At 39.1% G+C, this 15,225-nt stretch overlaps 1 protein-coding gene and 1 pseudogene across 1 annotated transcript in view; one reads left to right on the top strand and one right to left on the bottom strand.

The window, feature by feature from the left end:
• Window positions 1-15,225, bottom strand: part of MTREX (Mtr4 exosome RNA helicase) — a 117,591-nt gene that overhangs the window by 65,357 nt on the left and 37,009 nt on the right. Inside the window, exons 10-15 of the mRNA NM_015360.5 lie at window positions 15,027-15,129; window positions 13,079-13,210; window positions 10,571-10,650; window positions 9,194-9,304; window positions 6,954-7,055; window positions 1,525-1,650 (exon numbers count right to left, since the gene is read on the bottom strand). Coding sequence (NP_056175.3) covers window positions 1,525-1,650; window positions 6,954-7,055; window positions 9,194-9,304; window positions 10,571-10,650; window positions 13,079-13,210; window positions 15,027-15,129 — 654 coding nt within the window. The remainder of the gene's footprint in view (window positions 1-1,524; window positions 1,651-6,953; window positions 7,056-9,193; window positions 9,305-10,570; window positions 10,651-13,078; window positions 13,211-15,026; window positions 15,130-15,225) is intronic.
• LOC100419851 (protein serine kinase H1 pseudogene) lies at window positions 2,698-3,916 on the top strand (annotated as a pseudogene).

The raw sequence follows: 15,225 nt of genomic DNA, 5'->3' as shown, positions 1-15,225 counted from the left end.
AAGCCAGATACAAAAGGGTACACATTATACGAGTCTGTTTATATGAAATGTCCACAACAGACAAATCCATAGAGACAGAAAGCAAATTAGTTGTTGTCTAGGGCTTGAGGTAGGGGTGGTCTTGTGAAGAAAGAAGAGTGACTGTTAATAGGTACAGGGGTTTCTTTTTGGATTGATGAAAATATTCTAAAATTGATTGTGGTGATGGTGACAAAACTCTATGAATATATTAAAAACCATGGAAATGAGTGACTTGTATGGTATGTGAATTATAGCTCAATAAGTCTATTAGAAAAGTTAATTTTAAAAATGCAATGAAAGGTGATAGAACTTTACACTTACAAAGTAACAAATCCAGAAACGTCAAGTAAATGGAATGAAAACTCTGCACTAAAGGAACCAGATGCTGTCATTAAAATATTACCTCCTATAATCTGGCAATCCGATTCTGTTCTTTCCACACACACAGTACAAGGAAAGAAAAATAGCATGTGCTATATCTGGCACAATTAGAGAAAAGAATAAAAATACAAATTTTCAGCCTTGTTTAATTTTCCTTTCATGAAGCACTAAAGAGGTTTCCAAGTGTTAATCTCTAAAGTTGAAAATAAGACACAATACGATTATTATGAATATGTACAGACAAGCTTTGTCTTCACTCATGTAAAGACATATAAAGATATACACACCTTCATCAATTTTGCTTCAACATACCAAGCTTCATTATGACTATATCTCAAATTCTCCACAAAGTTCCCAAGTCTAAAAAGTTAGACACACAATCTGTTTCATAGATACTGACCTAAGTGTGTCTTAACATGTTTTGAAGTAGCTACTTTTAAGTAGCTAATAAGCTGGCAATTAATTTTGTGTTTTTAATTAAAGTTTCCTATCTTATTAACACTTTTCTCTATATGGATAAGAAGAAAAAAGGCAACCAGGCCAATCTTCCTTGAGAAGCTCTTCAAAACAAAATCCTAGACCATCCGAAGCACAAATACTAAGCAAGCAAAATAAAAGTCTAATCTGCAATAAAGCTTAAAATGTGTCCTTTTTGATTGGGATATTTATAATCAATAGGGTAAAGTGTAAACGCAGATTGCTGAATTAACCTATTAAGCTATCTGCGCTTGCAAAGGTAGAGGAAGCTCATTGCCTGCCCAAAACACTTGATTATCAGTAGAACAGAACTTCCTGTTCTACCAGGTAAAGAACAACTTGTGCAGTGGATGGGTCAAATAAAGAGATTTCTTAAATTTGGAGGACAAAGTAAACATTTCTGCCCTCTCTGGAGATCTTCACACCCTATCCATTACATGAGTTGCTCTCCACCTATTAGGTGAAGTAGGATACAAGATGTTAGTATTTTGAGTAATCACACCCTTCCATCTTCCCAAGCCCAGATAGTTTCAGTATATTAACTCATTTCACTTAGGTGTCTGACTGACACAACCAATTCTGAAATGGCTCCTGAAGTATATTTCTGGAATTCTTGGTAAAGGTACACAATCTTAATGTAGTTACCTTAAGTAATTGTTTTCCAATTGTTGGGCTCATCTTTTCATCTACCATAAGAATTACAATTCCTCTATCATCCATTCCTCTCCTTCCAGCACGACCAGACATCTGAATGTATTCACCAGAAGAAATCTGAATGAACATAGTTAAAATTCAGAGTTTAGGAAAAAAACTGGTAAAAAACATATTCTTAAAATTTCTCTTTTTATAAAATTTATAACAAGTTATAAACCCTAAGAAAGGAAACATGATTAAAAACAACATGAAGTTTGAGAAGAGTTAAAGTCAAAGCACAAAAATGCAAAACATGTGAGAATAATGTTTCAAACCGACATCACACTGACATAACAAAACTAAATTTTAGACTTATTATCATTTTGGATCGAAAATTTATGCTTTTAATCTAAATTTAAAGCCTAAAATTTAGGCTTTTAAAAATTTTGGCTTTCCACATAAGCCAATTACTGTTAATTATGCTTACAAATATATGACAGCTTCTGGGAAATATTGGCTAATTCACTGGCAGTAAAAAATACCTTTGAGCTGGATATTCTGGAAAACAGCAAAATCTTGATCTCCCGACCTTGTGATCTGCCCGCCTCAGCCTCCCAAAGTGCTGGGATTACAGGCATGAGCCACCACGCCCAGCGAAAACAGCAAAATCTAAGAATGCAATGACTCAAACTCAACCAAGTATCAATTCTGACTTGATCATAATTAACTTTCTGAATCTGCAAAATGAGATGACTATAATTCATGCTTTTGGAAAAAACAAAATTCTCTCCTATTTTCTTGGTATGTATGCTTGGAGTTTGGTTGAGTCCATCTGTCACCAGGAACAACCTGATAGAAGAAGGTTAGTAAGCCACCTGTATACAGGCTTTCAGGGCACCACTGAACCACTTCAACACTGGACAAAGTTTTTTCTGTAAGTGCATGTGTACTCTTCTGTGGAAAGGGTCCAGATTCTTTTAAAAAAACTGTAACTCAAAAAGAGTTAAAAACCACTATAGGTCACAATGCTGATGCCTGAGGATGGTGGTGGCAGTCCTAGCTCAGACATGGTTAGCAGAGCTGCTGAGATGCTGAAAGCCCACTGCCTGTATGAGGTATAGATGGAACACTGCCTACAGAGCAGATCCCACCAGCCTCACTGGAGAAGATGCCTTTATGTCCATGATGGGCTGAGGGAAAAGCAAGGTCCTTCCCTAGCCATCCAACGATGTCTAGCTGGATCTGGTCAAGAAGGTGCAGCTGTTCAGTGGCACTCAGAGTGGTATGTATAAGCACTTCATCATAGAGGCAGGCAGGTTTCCAGCAGCCAGTCAATATGCAGTGTCCCCAGTACCGGCCACGAAGAGCCTCCCTTGTGATCACACAGCCAGGGTGGCTAAATACAGGGCCAAGTTCAACCCATATATGACAGTTAAGTATGACATGAAGACCCCAATTGGCAAAGGAGATTCTGCCAAGTGGTATGCATGGAGCACTGAGCCACTTGGCAGCATACACCAAGATAATTGAGATCAAGTACCAGGAGGGGTAGGAGGTGTGGGAGTCAGAGCTGTGCGTGCTGCACCAGGTGCGTCATGCCAACATTGTCCAGCCGGTGGAGGTGTTTAGGATGCAGGAGCATGTATACATGTTGATACAACTGATCCCTGCTAGCATAGAGCTGTTCAACCACATCATCACCAAGGGTTCCTTCACTGAGCATGACGCCATGTGAATGCTGCAGATGGTGCTAGATGGCATCCAGTATCTGCATGCACTGGGCATCACAAACCAAGACCTCAAGCCTCACAATCTGCTCTACCACCATCCAGGCACTGACTCCAAGATCATCATCACTGACTTCAATCTGGTCAGTGCCTGCAAGAACAGCAACAACTACAACGGCCTGATGAAGACCACCTATGGCACACCAGCATACCGTGCCCCAGAGGTTTTGGCCTGCAAGTACTACACCATTCAGTGCACGTGTGGGTCCCAGGCATCATCGTCTACATCCTGCTGAGTAGCACTATGCCCTTTGGGGACAACAATCATGCCTCAGAGACAAGTATAGTTACTCGAATGAGCCCTGGCTACCCAGTATGTCCAACCTGGCTAAGGATTTCACTGACTGCCTGCTGACAGCGGACCCTGGAGCTCATATGACTACACTGCAGGCCCTGAGACACTTGTGGGTGGTAAACACGGCAGCCTCTTCATCCACGAAGAATCTGCACCAGTTCATCTCCCAAAACCTCCTCAAATGTGCCTCCTCACACTGCCAGAGCACCAAATATGCCCAGTCCACGTGTTAAAGCCACTTGACAGGCTCCAAGCTGAGTCACATGCAAGAGCGTGAGCTGCAGAAACTCAAACTTGCATTACCAGCCAACAGTACAATGGCTGACCCACCTGGCTTGGTACAGACACAGCATGATCTCAGCCTGGCCATTCATTGCTGTACCATCTAGGACTGTTACCCTCTCTGGAAATAGGTCTATACAGCAAGCAAAAGGTGAAGAATGTCTGGTCCCACTTCCTTCTCTGTGCCTTCAGCAGCCCCACTCCTTGCCATGGGCCTGGGCCATATGTGACAAGAGTAGAGGTGGCACAGGGGGCTGTCTGTGACTCCCTGAATGAGGCATCTGGTCTGGCACTGACACTCATTTTGGTGGGAAACTGCTCTGGTATGAGTTGGAGAAAGGACAGAACCTGGCCTTCACTGTCTCCCTAACCCTTTGACTCTTCCCCAGAACAAGTCGGGGCAGCAGTGCTGGCTGAAGAGTGTTCTATAGCCTCAGGACCCTTTGGGACAGTTAATTCTAGAACTACCCCCCATTCCTCCACAGAGCCTTCTTCCCTGACTCTCTACATTCCAAGGCATCTTGATCCTTAAGATTATGCTCCAGTGGGAGGCCCAGGTAAACACAAAGCTTATGCCTTGACTGGACTCGTAGCCCCTGGCTAGATCCAAACAGTCCCCTACCTCCCAGCCAAGACATTTCTTTCTCCATGGTGCCCCCACAAAGACATCTCCTGGCCCCAGGATTCGCCAAGAGCTCTGGTGGTAGGGCAACAGCATGGACCTTAACCCTTCTAGATGGTGTGGCCATGCTGGTGGCAGGGTTGCCCCAGGGTCCAGCCTATCTCTGACTATGAGAGGGTCCCTGGCCCACCAGCCTACCACCCTCAATGCCTTCTTTGCAGAGCCCACTATTACCTCCCTTTCCCCCTTGGATGTCCATTCCATCCCCCAGGTGCCTCCTTCTTAACAGTGGAGGGGTTAAAGGGAGTCTCACTGCTGCTACCTGGGGAATGGGACCCTTGAGGGCCAAAGCAGAGGGCAGGGGGTTCACCATTAGGATTCCATTGTCAGCCCTGGTTCAATCCTTTGATATGGCCCATAGCCCTTTTCCATCAGGCTCCAGTGCTCCCTCTTCTACAGTGGCATGAAGGTGCTATCTGGCATCTGGCATAGTATAGAGAGCCTGGGAGTGATCACTGCACATCCATCATACACACCCATCATGCACACCCACTGTCCTCCACAAGGAAGCAGGAAGGAAAGGGTTGCTTTGTGAGGGAGGGTCCCAGGCTGCTTAACTCTCTCCTTCTCTTGAGCTTCTACGCATCTCTCCCTGAAACTTAATCATATTGTGTGAAATGTCTCTGAACCCTGGGTGGCTGGGCACTGACCTTCTCAGAGCTTCCCTCGCCCAATCCACCCTGTGCCTGCTTCCTCTCATGGCATTAGCCTTCCAGTCTGGACCCCGATGAGTCTCAGGCTAGAGGGAGTCCCTGTGGGAGGTGGGTGCGGTTGGTTGACTGCTGTCCACTAGAAATCATCCTCAAATCTGTCATGGTACCTTCCCCCCACCACAAACCAGGCTGGAACCCAAATTCCCTCTCTCCACAGCTGCCTTTATTGGGTAGGAAGGGGCTAGGGCCCAGCCTTAGCCAGACTGCAGAGTCCCTGCTAGCACAGAGGGTTTGGCTCCCACTCAGCAGCTCTACTCAGCTTTTCCCAGGGGCAGCCTTGGCCAGGCCCTCCTGACCCAAGAAGTTCTGGCCCAGAAATGTCACTGCCTCACCATACTCGTATTCCTCTTTTGTAGAGCATCCAACATTTTAAAATAAAACACATCATGAAAAATGTTTCGCCTTTATTTACAGTTTCAGCGAGGGTACTTTTCAGCATTTTGATGATTTGTAATTCCTTTCAGAAACTTCTCCAAGCAGAGAGAATCACCAATTTCAAAGAAAAAAGGTTAAATAAAGGACTATTTTCCCCAAAGCCAGGCTATGTGAATTCAAACTAGAAATCTTTGTTCCATCACTTTCCTTTCACCCCCGCCAATATTCTACTGTCTGCTTAGCAAATTCTCATCTGCTGTTACTTATTTTAAGGACTGCCTTTCAATGAAGCATTCCCTGACCCCCAAATGACTTCCTTTCTTATGCTATATCCCTGAACATACTTCTCAAGAGTGTTTACAGCATAACATTTTATTGTATATCTGTCAAGAGAAACGAGTCTGGATTGTCTTTTTGCTCTGTTTCTACTTCAGCATCCCAGTCACCTACAGAGTTCTAAATTCATATTTTAAGTTTGGTAATTGTTTACTAAATGGAGTACTTGCCTTGGGATTAAGGATTTGCTTTTTACCCCAGTTCATTGTTTCACCTATGCTCCCAACTTTCTCTCTTTGCTTCTGCCTTGGACATGTGTGCAAACCTGTTAGAACTTCTTTTTTAAATCTGAAGGGCAAAATAGATGCAAGTACAGCCACTGTAGTGGTGCTTTAATACCTTAAACTTTAAGAAATGAAAACTCTAGACATATTTAAAATGATTTAAAGCATTCATAAACCACTTGCACACTTAACCTCCTATCATCAAACTCCTTCACTTAAAGGAATCTCTTTTTTTTTGAAGGAGAGGTAGGAGTGAAGGAGTTAGGATAAAAATTTAAGGGAACGGAGGTTTGTTCAATTAATTAATTTATTCAGAGACAGGGTCTCACTCTGTCCTCAAGGCTCGAGTACAGTGGTGCAATCACAGCTCACTGGAGCCTTGACCTCCTGGGCTCAAGTGATTCTTCCACCTCAGCCTCTCAAGTAGCTGCGACTACAGGTGCACATCACCACTCCCAGGTGATTTTTGCATTTTTTGTAGAGATGGGGTCTCGCTATGTTGCCCAGGCTGGTCTCAAACTCCTGGCCTTAAATCATCCTCCCACCTTGGCCTCCCAAAGTGCTGTGATTATAAGCCTAAGCCACCACAAATGGCCAAAAGCCAAGGTTTAACCTTGATGAAACTGTATTAGCTCAGGTTCAAGTTCTTAAGTAGGTGGGACTTAAAATCTCAAAGACTATGTAAGCCAGTTATCTATAGTATAACAAAGACAAAAATTATTTTGATATATGAATTGCTTTACTTACCCATCGGAAATCCTTCCCATCAAATTTGCGGGCATTTGTAAATAAAACAGTTCTAGCTGGCATGTTAATTCCCATAGCAAAGGTCTCCGTGGCAAATAAGGCCTAAGTAAATAAGTAATTCTATAATTAAACATGTATTTTAAGCTGAAAATCTGGTTTTATAATTTTTAAGTAAATGCATTATTAATCTTTAAAATTAGTTAATGAGATCCTACAAAAATAACAAACAATATGTTCTCAAACCTATTTCGTATTTTATATATAAAATTATTAATTAACATTTAATGTCTCTCGTAGCCCAGAAGTTTGGTAATTAAGGGAAAACAGACTTTCTTAAATTCTAACAGTGCCAACTAGAGAGAATACACACTGGTCTTACGAACAAAGTTTTAGGTCATAGAATATTTTTCTAAACACGAACACATTTCCTGGCCTTTGCAACTGATGACACAGTGATTTTGAGGACCACTTCAGTATTAGAAGATCTCTCAAGGAAGACTAGAATCACTGACTCTGTAATTCACTTCTAAGACCAACAAAAATAGTGGTTTAGGTACAAAAGGATATATGTATAAGTAAAGTCACTGAAGTACTAAATTCTCTAGGAAAGAAGTAAAAATATTTTAGTTCATCATCTCAATAGCATACTATTCATTCATTAAAAAGAATGAAAAAGAATCTGACATATGATGAAATTATATAATAGGGGTAGTATAATGACTTTTTTTGTTGTTTACAAAATGACTAATGCATTATTTGTATGTATACTAGTAGATATTTCTGGCAAGTGATGGGATGATCTTTCATTTTTTTACTTTACATACAACTGCTCTATTTGAATTTTACACCCAACAAGTACTGCTTGTGTATTTTTTAAAAGATCCTTAAAAAGTAGGGCTCAGCAAAATATACAATCTAGAAGGGACATACCAGGATCTAAGTAAGTATAAAATTCATTATCTAAGTGACTTCAAATATGTTCTTCAAGATAAGTAAATTTATCTTAAATATTTTACTTAGTGCTGAGGTTCTCATGATAAATCTCACATTTGATTTTTAAAATTCTAATAATTTTTAAACATAATGTATGAGGCTGGGCATGGTAACCTATAATCCCAGCACTTTGGGAGGCTGAGGTGGGAGGATCACTTAAGGTCAGGAGTTCAAGACCAGCCTGGCCAACATGGTGAAACCCCATCTCTACAAAAAAACAAAAACAAAAACAAAACAAAACAAAACAAAACAAAAACAAAAACAAAAACAAAAAACAAGAAAAAAAAATTAGTTGGGGATGGTGGTATGCTCCTGTAGTCCCAGCTACTTGGGAGGCTGAGGCAGGAGAACTGCTTGAACCCAGGAGGCAGAGGTGCTACTGCACTCCAACCTGGGTGACAGAGCAAGATTCTGCCTCAAAAAAAAAAAAAAAAGTATGAGTCATATATAGACTTATGATTACATTTTGATGTTGTTTCCCATTTTTAATATCCCATTTCTTGGTATAAATATCAATATCATTTAAAAAAAGTAAATCAGATGCTCTTTGGTTTAAATTAGAATATTAAAAAAACTCTCTTTCCTAAGTCTAACCAGCAATTTCCTTGTCTTCTCTAAACTAATCCTTTTATTCTGTATGCAGAAAGAAGTTTACAACCCCGGGTTTAGTAATTAAATACACCTTCTGCAACATTCTGTGGTATCCAATAGTGTTACCACTACATTCTTTGGTTTTGTTCTTGTTTTTGAGAGTTTTGCTCTTGTTGTCCAGGCTGGAGTACAATGGTGTGATCTCCGCTCACTGCAACCTCCACCTCCTGGGTTCAAGTGATTCTCCTGCCTCAGCTTCCCTAGTAGCTGGGACTGCAGGTGCTTGCCACCACGACTGGCTAATTTTGTATTTTTAGCAGAGATGGGGTTTCTCCATGTTGGTCAGGCTGGTCTCGAACTCCCGACCTCAGGTAATCCACCTACCTCAGCCTACCAAAGTGCTGGGATTACAGGTGTGAGCCACTGTACCCTGCCACCACTACATTCTTGAAGAAAGGAAACAAATGTTTTTTTTTTACCTACACTTCAAGATTTATTTAAGTATAACATCATATATAAAAATTAAGTTCATTATTTAAGTCATTTCATTAAGCCTTGTTAAAAACACACATATTGCCTATAAACAATGTTCTCTCATTTTCAAACTCTTCATACAACATGATATGGGGGCATAAAAAATAAAAATAAAACCATACCTTTATCAATCCTTCAGAAAAGAGAATTTCTATAGTTTCTTTCAAAATAGGAAGTAAACCACCATGGTGAATACCAATTCCCCTCTTCAAAAGAGGAAGTACATGTTCTACCTGTGATTTTGGAATAACACTGATTTTATAATGATGTGAGAAAAGGATTTTTAAAATGTTAAACTAAATTAAGAAAAACAGTAAAGAATGCTTTCTCTTTAAAGAAACTTAATAAAATCTTTCCAGAATAAAAGCAAAACTCAAACCTATATTCTCACGGATTATTAAATTCAATATAATTCTGGCCAAGCTCATAGGAAAGGCATATAGTAAGTATACTTTACAAATGCTTTGCTGTCTTAAATTTTCCAGCATCACTTCATCTCCTCAAAAAACAATTACACATTATAGGGGCAGAGTTTTTGCCTGTAGAAAATAAACTTAAAAGATACTGGCAACTCAAACCCCCAAAAAATAAATCACTGTAACACATATTTAACATGAATATGTACTTAATCTAAAAATAAACCAATTATTGAAGAATTCTTTCAACAATCTATCAAACGCCATTAAATACTTACTACTAGAAGTGCGCTATAACAAAGATGTATAAAAACATGGCTCAGCCCTTAGATACTAATAATTCAGCCAGGAAGAAAAACTACAAAAAAGTTTATACATTAAATACCCTTTTCAAATAGCAAGAAACATGTTATCACAGTCTTATGGAAAATCCCTTACAAATCAAGGCATTCATCTGTAAAGGAGAGTATGATGATCTCCCAATGTTTCTTTCCACTCAACAAAACTTTCATACCAGTCTAAAGCACTATTTCTCAGCTCTGGATGCACAGCAGAATCACCTGGGGGGCCTTTAAAAGATTCTGATGTCCAGAATGTACATCAGATCAATTAAATCAGAATCTCTGGAAGTGGCACAAAAGCATCAGCATATTTTGGAATTCCCAGGCTGTTTCAACAGTCAAAGCAAAAATACACTGGATTAAGGCAAAGTAGGTATGTTAAATTCCTCACTAAACACATGATTTTCAGTAAGTGTTCTCTTTTATTTTATGTGGTAGCCTTCTGGATTAAAAAAGTTAATGACTTAAAACTAGCATTAAAAATTCTGTAATACTGAGAACACTAGCAGTAATTTTCACACCATACTAGCTCTCAGAGAAAAGTTCCTTCAGGCAGCAAATCTTTCTTCCTATTGCCTTTTTGAAGTTTAAAGTAAAAGTCAAAGTATCATTAAGGGCATATCACAACCCATATGCTACAGTGTGTGAAAAGTGCAATAGAGTAATAAAACCAAGCAATGTAAAGTGAATATATGCAATCTATTATTATCTACACTTTTATCTACTGATACTGAAAACTCACCTGAGGGAGTTTTTTATCTTCATCGGATAAGCAATCAATTGCATTACTGAATACTTCTTCAACCATCTTCTTTTCTTCATCTAGGAGAAAATTCAAGGGTACAGAAATATCAAAATGAGTTAGTGATACCAAACTTCACACATTACAAAGAATAAGAATCTAAAGGCCAGGCGTGGTGTCCCAAGCTTGTAATCCTAGCACTTAGGGAGGCTGAGGCAGGTGGCTGGCTTGAGGCCAGAAGTTTGAGAACAGCATGGGCAACATGGCGAAGCCCTGTCTCTACAAAAAATACAAAAAAATTAGCCAGGCATTGCGGCGTGCACCTGTAGTCCCAGCTACCTGGGAGGCTGAGACAGGAGGACTACCTGAGCCCAGGAGGCTGAGGCTGCAGTGAGCCATGATCGCACCACTACACTCCAGTCCTGGCAACAGAGTGAGACCCCATCTCAGAAAAAAAAAAAAAAAAAGAGTCTTTAAAGAGCAAAAGTAAAGAGGTGGCATTTAAGATGGTCAAGCAGAAAGTAGATAAAAATTACCACATAATCAATATAATTCTCTGCCTTTCAAAACATATCTAGTAGACTTAATTCATGAAAAAAGTACTATCTTACAAAAATAGTAACAATAACCACATCTGGTGCTTTACATACAACATTTAAGTCTAACAATTACAGGACACAGGAACTATTATTATCTACATTTTACTACTAAGTAAAGTGAAACTTAGTTTTTAATAATTAGCACCACTATTAACTGTGAGAAAAACAATTCCAAAGCCCATGCTCTTTCTTAACCATTGCACTGCCTTCTTGTACAGTGTCTATCAAATAATATGTATTAAGCATTTGTTAAACTGAATAAATATTTGTTAATCAGTATGCAACCCTGCAACTTTAAGTTTATTCGGCACTTGTAGGTAAGAGAAAACATTTATGGGCAGAACAATTCAGTCTTTAAAAAAACACAAACTATTAGTGGCTTTAGAAGGCTATGTCAGCTATCTGTCATTTGTTACTTTTACTCATGGAAAAGTAGGAATTAGCTTTAAAATGCACAGATAAAAAAACAAAACCTGCCTTGATAAAGAAAACAATACAACTGAAATTTAAATTTGGATGGCTTAAGATATTATTTACTTTTCACTGTACTGGATTACATGTGCAAAAGGCAGAGTTGAAAGATAATCGGGTTGGTATTCAGCACACTGCAATTCTTGGCCAGTGGTTTGGTTTGAATGTGTCCCCCTAAAGTTAATGTGCTGACCCCTTAATCCACAATGAAACAGTGTTGAGAGGTAGGGCCTTTAAGAGACAGGGTCCTCATGAATGGATTAATGCCTTTATCAGAGGAGTGGGTTAGTTATCACTGGTATGCGTTCCTGATAAAAAGATGAGTTCAGCCCCCTTCTCCCACCCTCTCTCTTGCATGCTCTCCTGCCCTACTGTCTTCAGCCGTGGGATTCCACGACAAAAAAGGCCCTCACTAGATGTGCTGGGTCCCTCAAATTGGATTTCCAGCCTCTCAAACTATAAGAAATAAATTTCTGCCTTTCATAAATTACCTAGTGATATGGTTTGGCTCTGTGTCCCCACCCAAAACTCATCTTGTAGTTCCCATGATTCCCATGTGTTGTGGGAGGGACCCAGTAGATGACTGAATCATGCGGGTGTCTCTTTCCTGTGCTGCTCTCGTGACAGTGACTAAGTCTCATGAGATCTGATGGTTTTGAAAATGGGAGTTTTCCTGCACAAGCTCCCTCTCTTTGCCTGCTGCCACCCAAGTAAGATGTGACTTGCTCCTCCTTGCCTTCCACCATGATTGTGAGGCATCCCCAGCCACGTGGAACTGTGAGTCCATTAAACCTATTTTCTTTGTAAATTGCCCAGTCTTGGGTATGTCTTTATCAGCAGCGTGAAAATGCACTAGTCTCAGCTATTCTGTCACAGCAACACAAAATGGACTAAGACAGCCAGGTTGTGCTACTGTCTTAACTGTGTGACTTCAAGTGAATTACTTTTGCAATTAATGTATAGGAATAATTTACCGATTTGCTAGAAGTTATATCACTTTGATTGAGAATTACAAAATAGTTAAGCAAAGGGCAGGTCTTACTGGTTTAGACTTCAGTGAGAATGAAGCATGGTATTTTCTATATAGAAGGTGGTCTAACCAAGCTATGAGACCTACCCTTAAGTGGTCAAATAGAGAGCCACAATAACTGAGGAGTTTACGGTAACAAAGTATAAGAAGGCATGATTCTAATATTTTTCATAGGGTTCTCCAAATTTTAAATAGAACAATGTACTCATATCTTTCAATAAAAGGAGAAGAAAGGGAAGAAAGTATAAGTCAAAGGCCTTTAAAGCTTTTACAAATGTGCTGAGTACTGCTGTAACTGTAAGGTGAATGGCATATCCTAGTAATATGTAACAGATAAAAATATTACTAGAAATATATTTTACGCTCATTTTCACATAACATTAAAATGATACTGAAATGATGTAGTACCTGTGTTGAAATCTAATTTGGTCATTTGAAGTGCATAGGCTTCACAATCTTTCTTACTAAAACTGAAAATAATCACAGGTTGGAAATTTCTTTCCATAATCATCTTCACAATTTTGAAAACATTTGATGGTCCTGCAAAAACAGTAAACAACACACCAAAATTAACTCAAAATAGATCACAGATCTAAATTTAAAAGCTAAAACTATAAAACTTTTAAGAGAAAATATAGGAATAAATCTTCCTGACCGTGGGTTAGACAAAGCATTCTTAGATATGACAACAAAAGCATAAACAACATAAGGAAAAAAATGCATGAACTGGACTTCATCAAAGTGAAAAACTTTTGTGATTTCATGGATACCATCAATAAAGTAAAAAGACAACCTCAAACAGAATGGGGGGAGATATTTGCAAATCATCTATCTGATAAGGGTCTAGTATCCAGAATATGTAAAGAACTATCATAATTCAACAACAACAATAAAAAAACATACTTTTAAAATAGAGAAAGAATATGCAAATGGCCAATAAGCACATGAAAAAATGTTCAACATCATTAGCCACCAGGGAAATGTAAACTGAAACCACATTAAGATACCACTTCACATTCAATAGGATGACTATAATCAGACATACAATACTAAGTATCGTGGAAAAATTATATGTGAAAAAATTAGATCCATCAAATTATACCACCATCTTTCCAAATGGGAAATCAGGGCAAAATACATAATCTGTTTCATTTACCCATTACCTAGCCCAGGGATGCTGTAATTACAGAAAGATGCCTCTGTTTCTATGGAGGAGGAGTACGGTGATACAAAGGATATAGAGAAAATGGAACCCTCACACATTCCTGGAAGGAAATGTAAAATGGTATAGCCACTTTGGAAAATACTTTGGCAGTTTCTCAAAAGGTGAAACATAGACTTTCCACATGGTGCAGCAATTCCACTCCTAGGTACATATCCAGAGGAAAACACCTATTCACACAAAAACTTGTATTAAATAGTACATGCATCAATGTTTACAACAGCATTCCTAACAGTCAAAAACCAGAAAAACCCAAAAGTCCATCCAATGATGAATGGAGAAACAAAATGTGGTATATCCATACAATGGAATGTTATTTAACCATGAAAAGGAATGAGTACATATAGCATAAAATGAACAAAATAGCCGGGCACAGTGGCTCACACCTGTAATCCCATCACTTGGGAGGCCACGATGGGCATATCACTTCAGGTCAGGAGTTTGAGATCTGCCTAGCCAACACAGTGAAACCCCGTCTCTACTAAAAATACAAAAATTATCCAGGCATGGTGGCAGGTGCCTATAATCCCAGCTACTTGGGAGGCTGAGGCAGGAGAATCACTTGAACCCAGGAGGCAGAAAGTTGCAATGAGCCAAGACAGCACCAGTGTACTCCAGCCTGGGTGACAGAGCGAGACACTGTCTCAAAAAAAAAAAAAAAAAAAATTAAAAGTAACGAACCTTGAAAACATTACATTAAGTGAAAGAAGCCAGTTGCTCCAAACATGAAATGCACAGACAAGGGAAAGCCACAGAGATCGAAAACAGGCTAATGATTAACTAAGTCTGCGGGATGAGAAGGGAAAGGTTGGGGGAAAAGGGAGAATAACTGTTAATGTGTACAGGGTTTCTTTTTGGGTTCATGAAAATATTTTGGAACTAGACAGTGGTGATGGCTGCACAATTCTGTAAATATACTAAAGACTACTGAATTGTATACTTAGATGAGTGAATTTTATAGTATGTAAATTATACTTAATGTCATACAAAAAAGATAAATATTTATCCAATTTTATCACATATCGTCTAGACCTTTACATAGCTTGAGAAAAAAAAACTAAGACAAAAAATATCAGAGTAATCTGAATATACAATTTACATGTAAAATTCTCTCAAAGCAAAGTTCCAAATTACCTTTTGTTCCTCCTTTCCGCCCTTTCTGGTCTCCTTTGGCCAAATCACCTGCATCTCGAAGCACTTGCATTGCAGTATTAAAATTATCTTCTCTGAAGTCACCCTGGAATCACAAATTTTTTCTGTGTAACTTCACTAATACTTAATCATAATTCAAACATTTTTCATACATAAGGCTTCCCCAAATAAAAATAATTTA

Source organism: Homo sapiens, chromosome 5 (genome assembly GCF_000001405.40).
Source record: "Homo sapiens chromosome 5, GRCh38.p14 Primary Assembly".
Lineage (NCBI taxonomy): Eukaryota > Metazoa > Chordata > Mammalia > Primates > Hominidae > Homo > Homo sapiens.
Note: the sequence above shows the minus strand (reverse complement) of the source record. Positions and strands in the feature narration are given on the sequence as shown.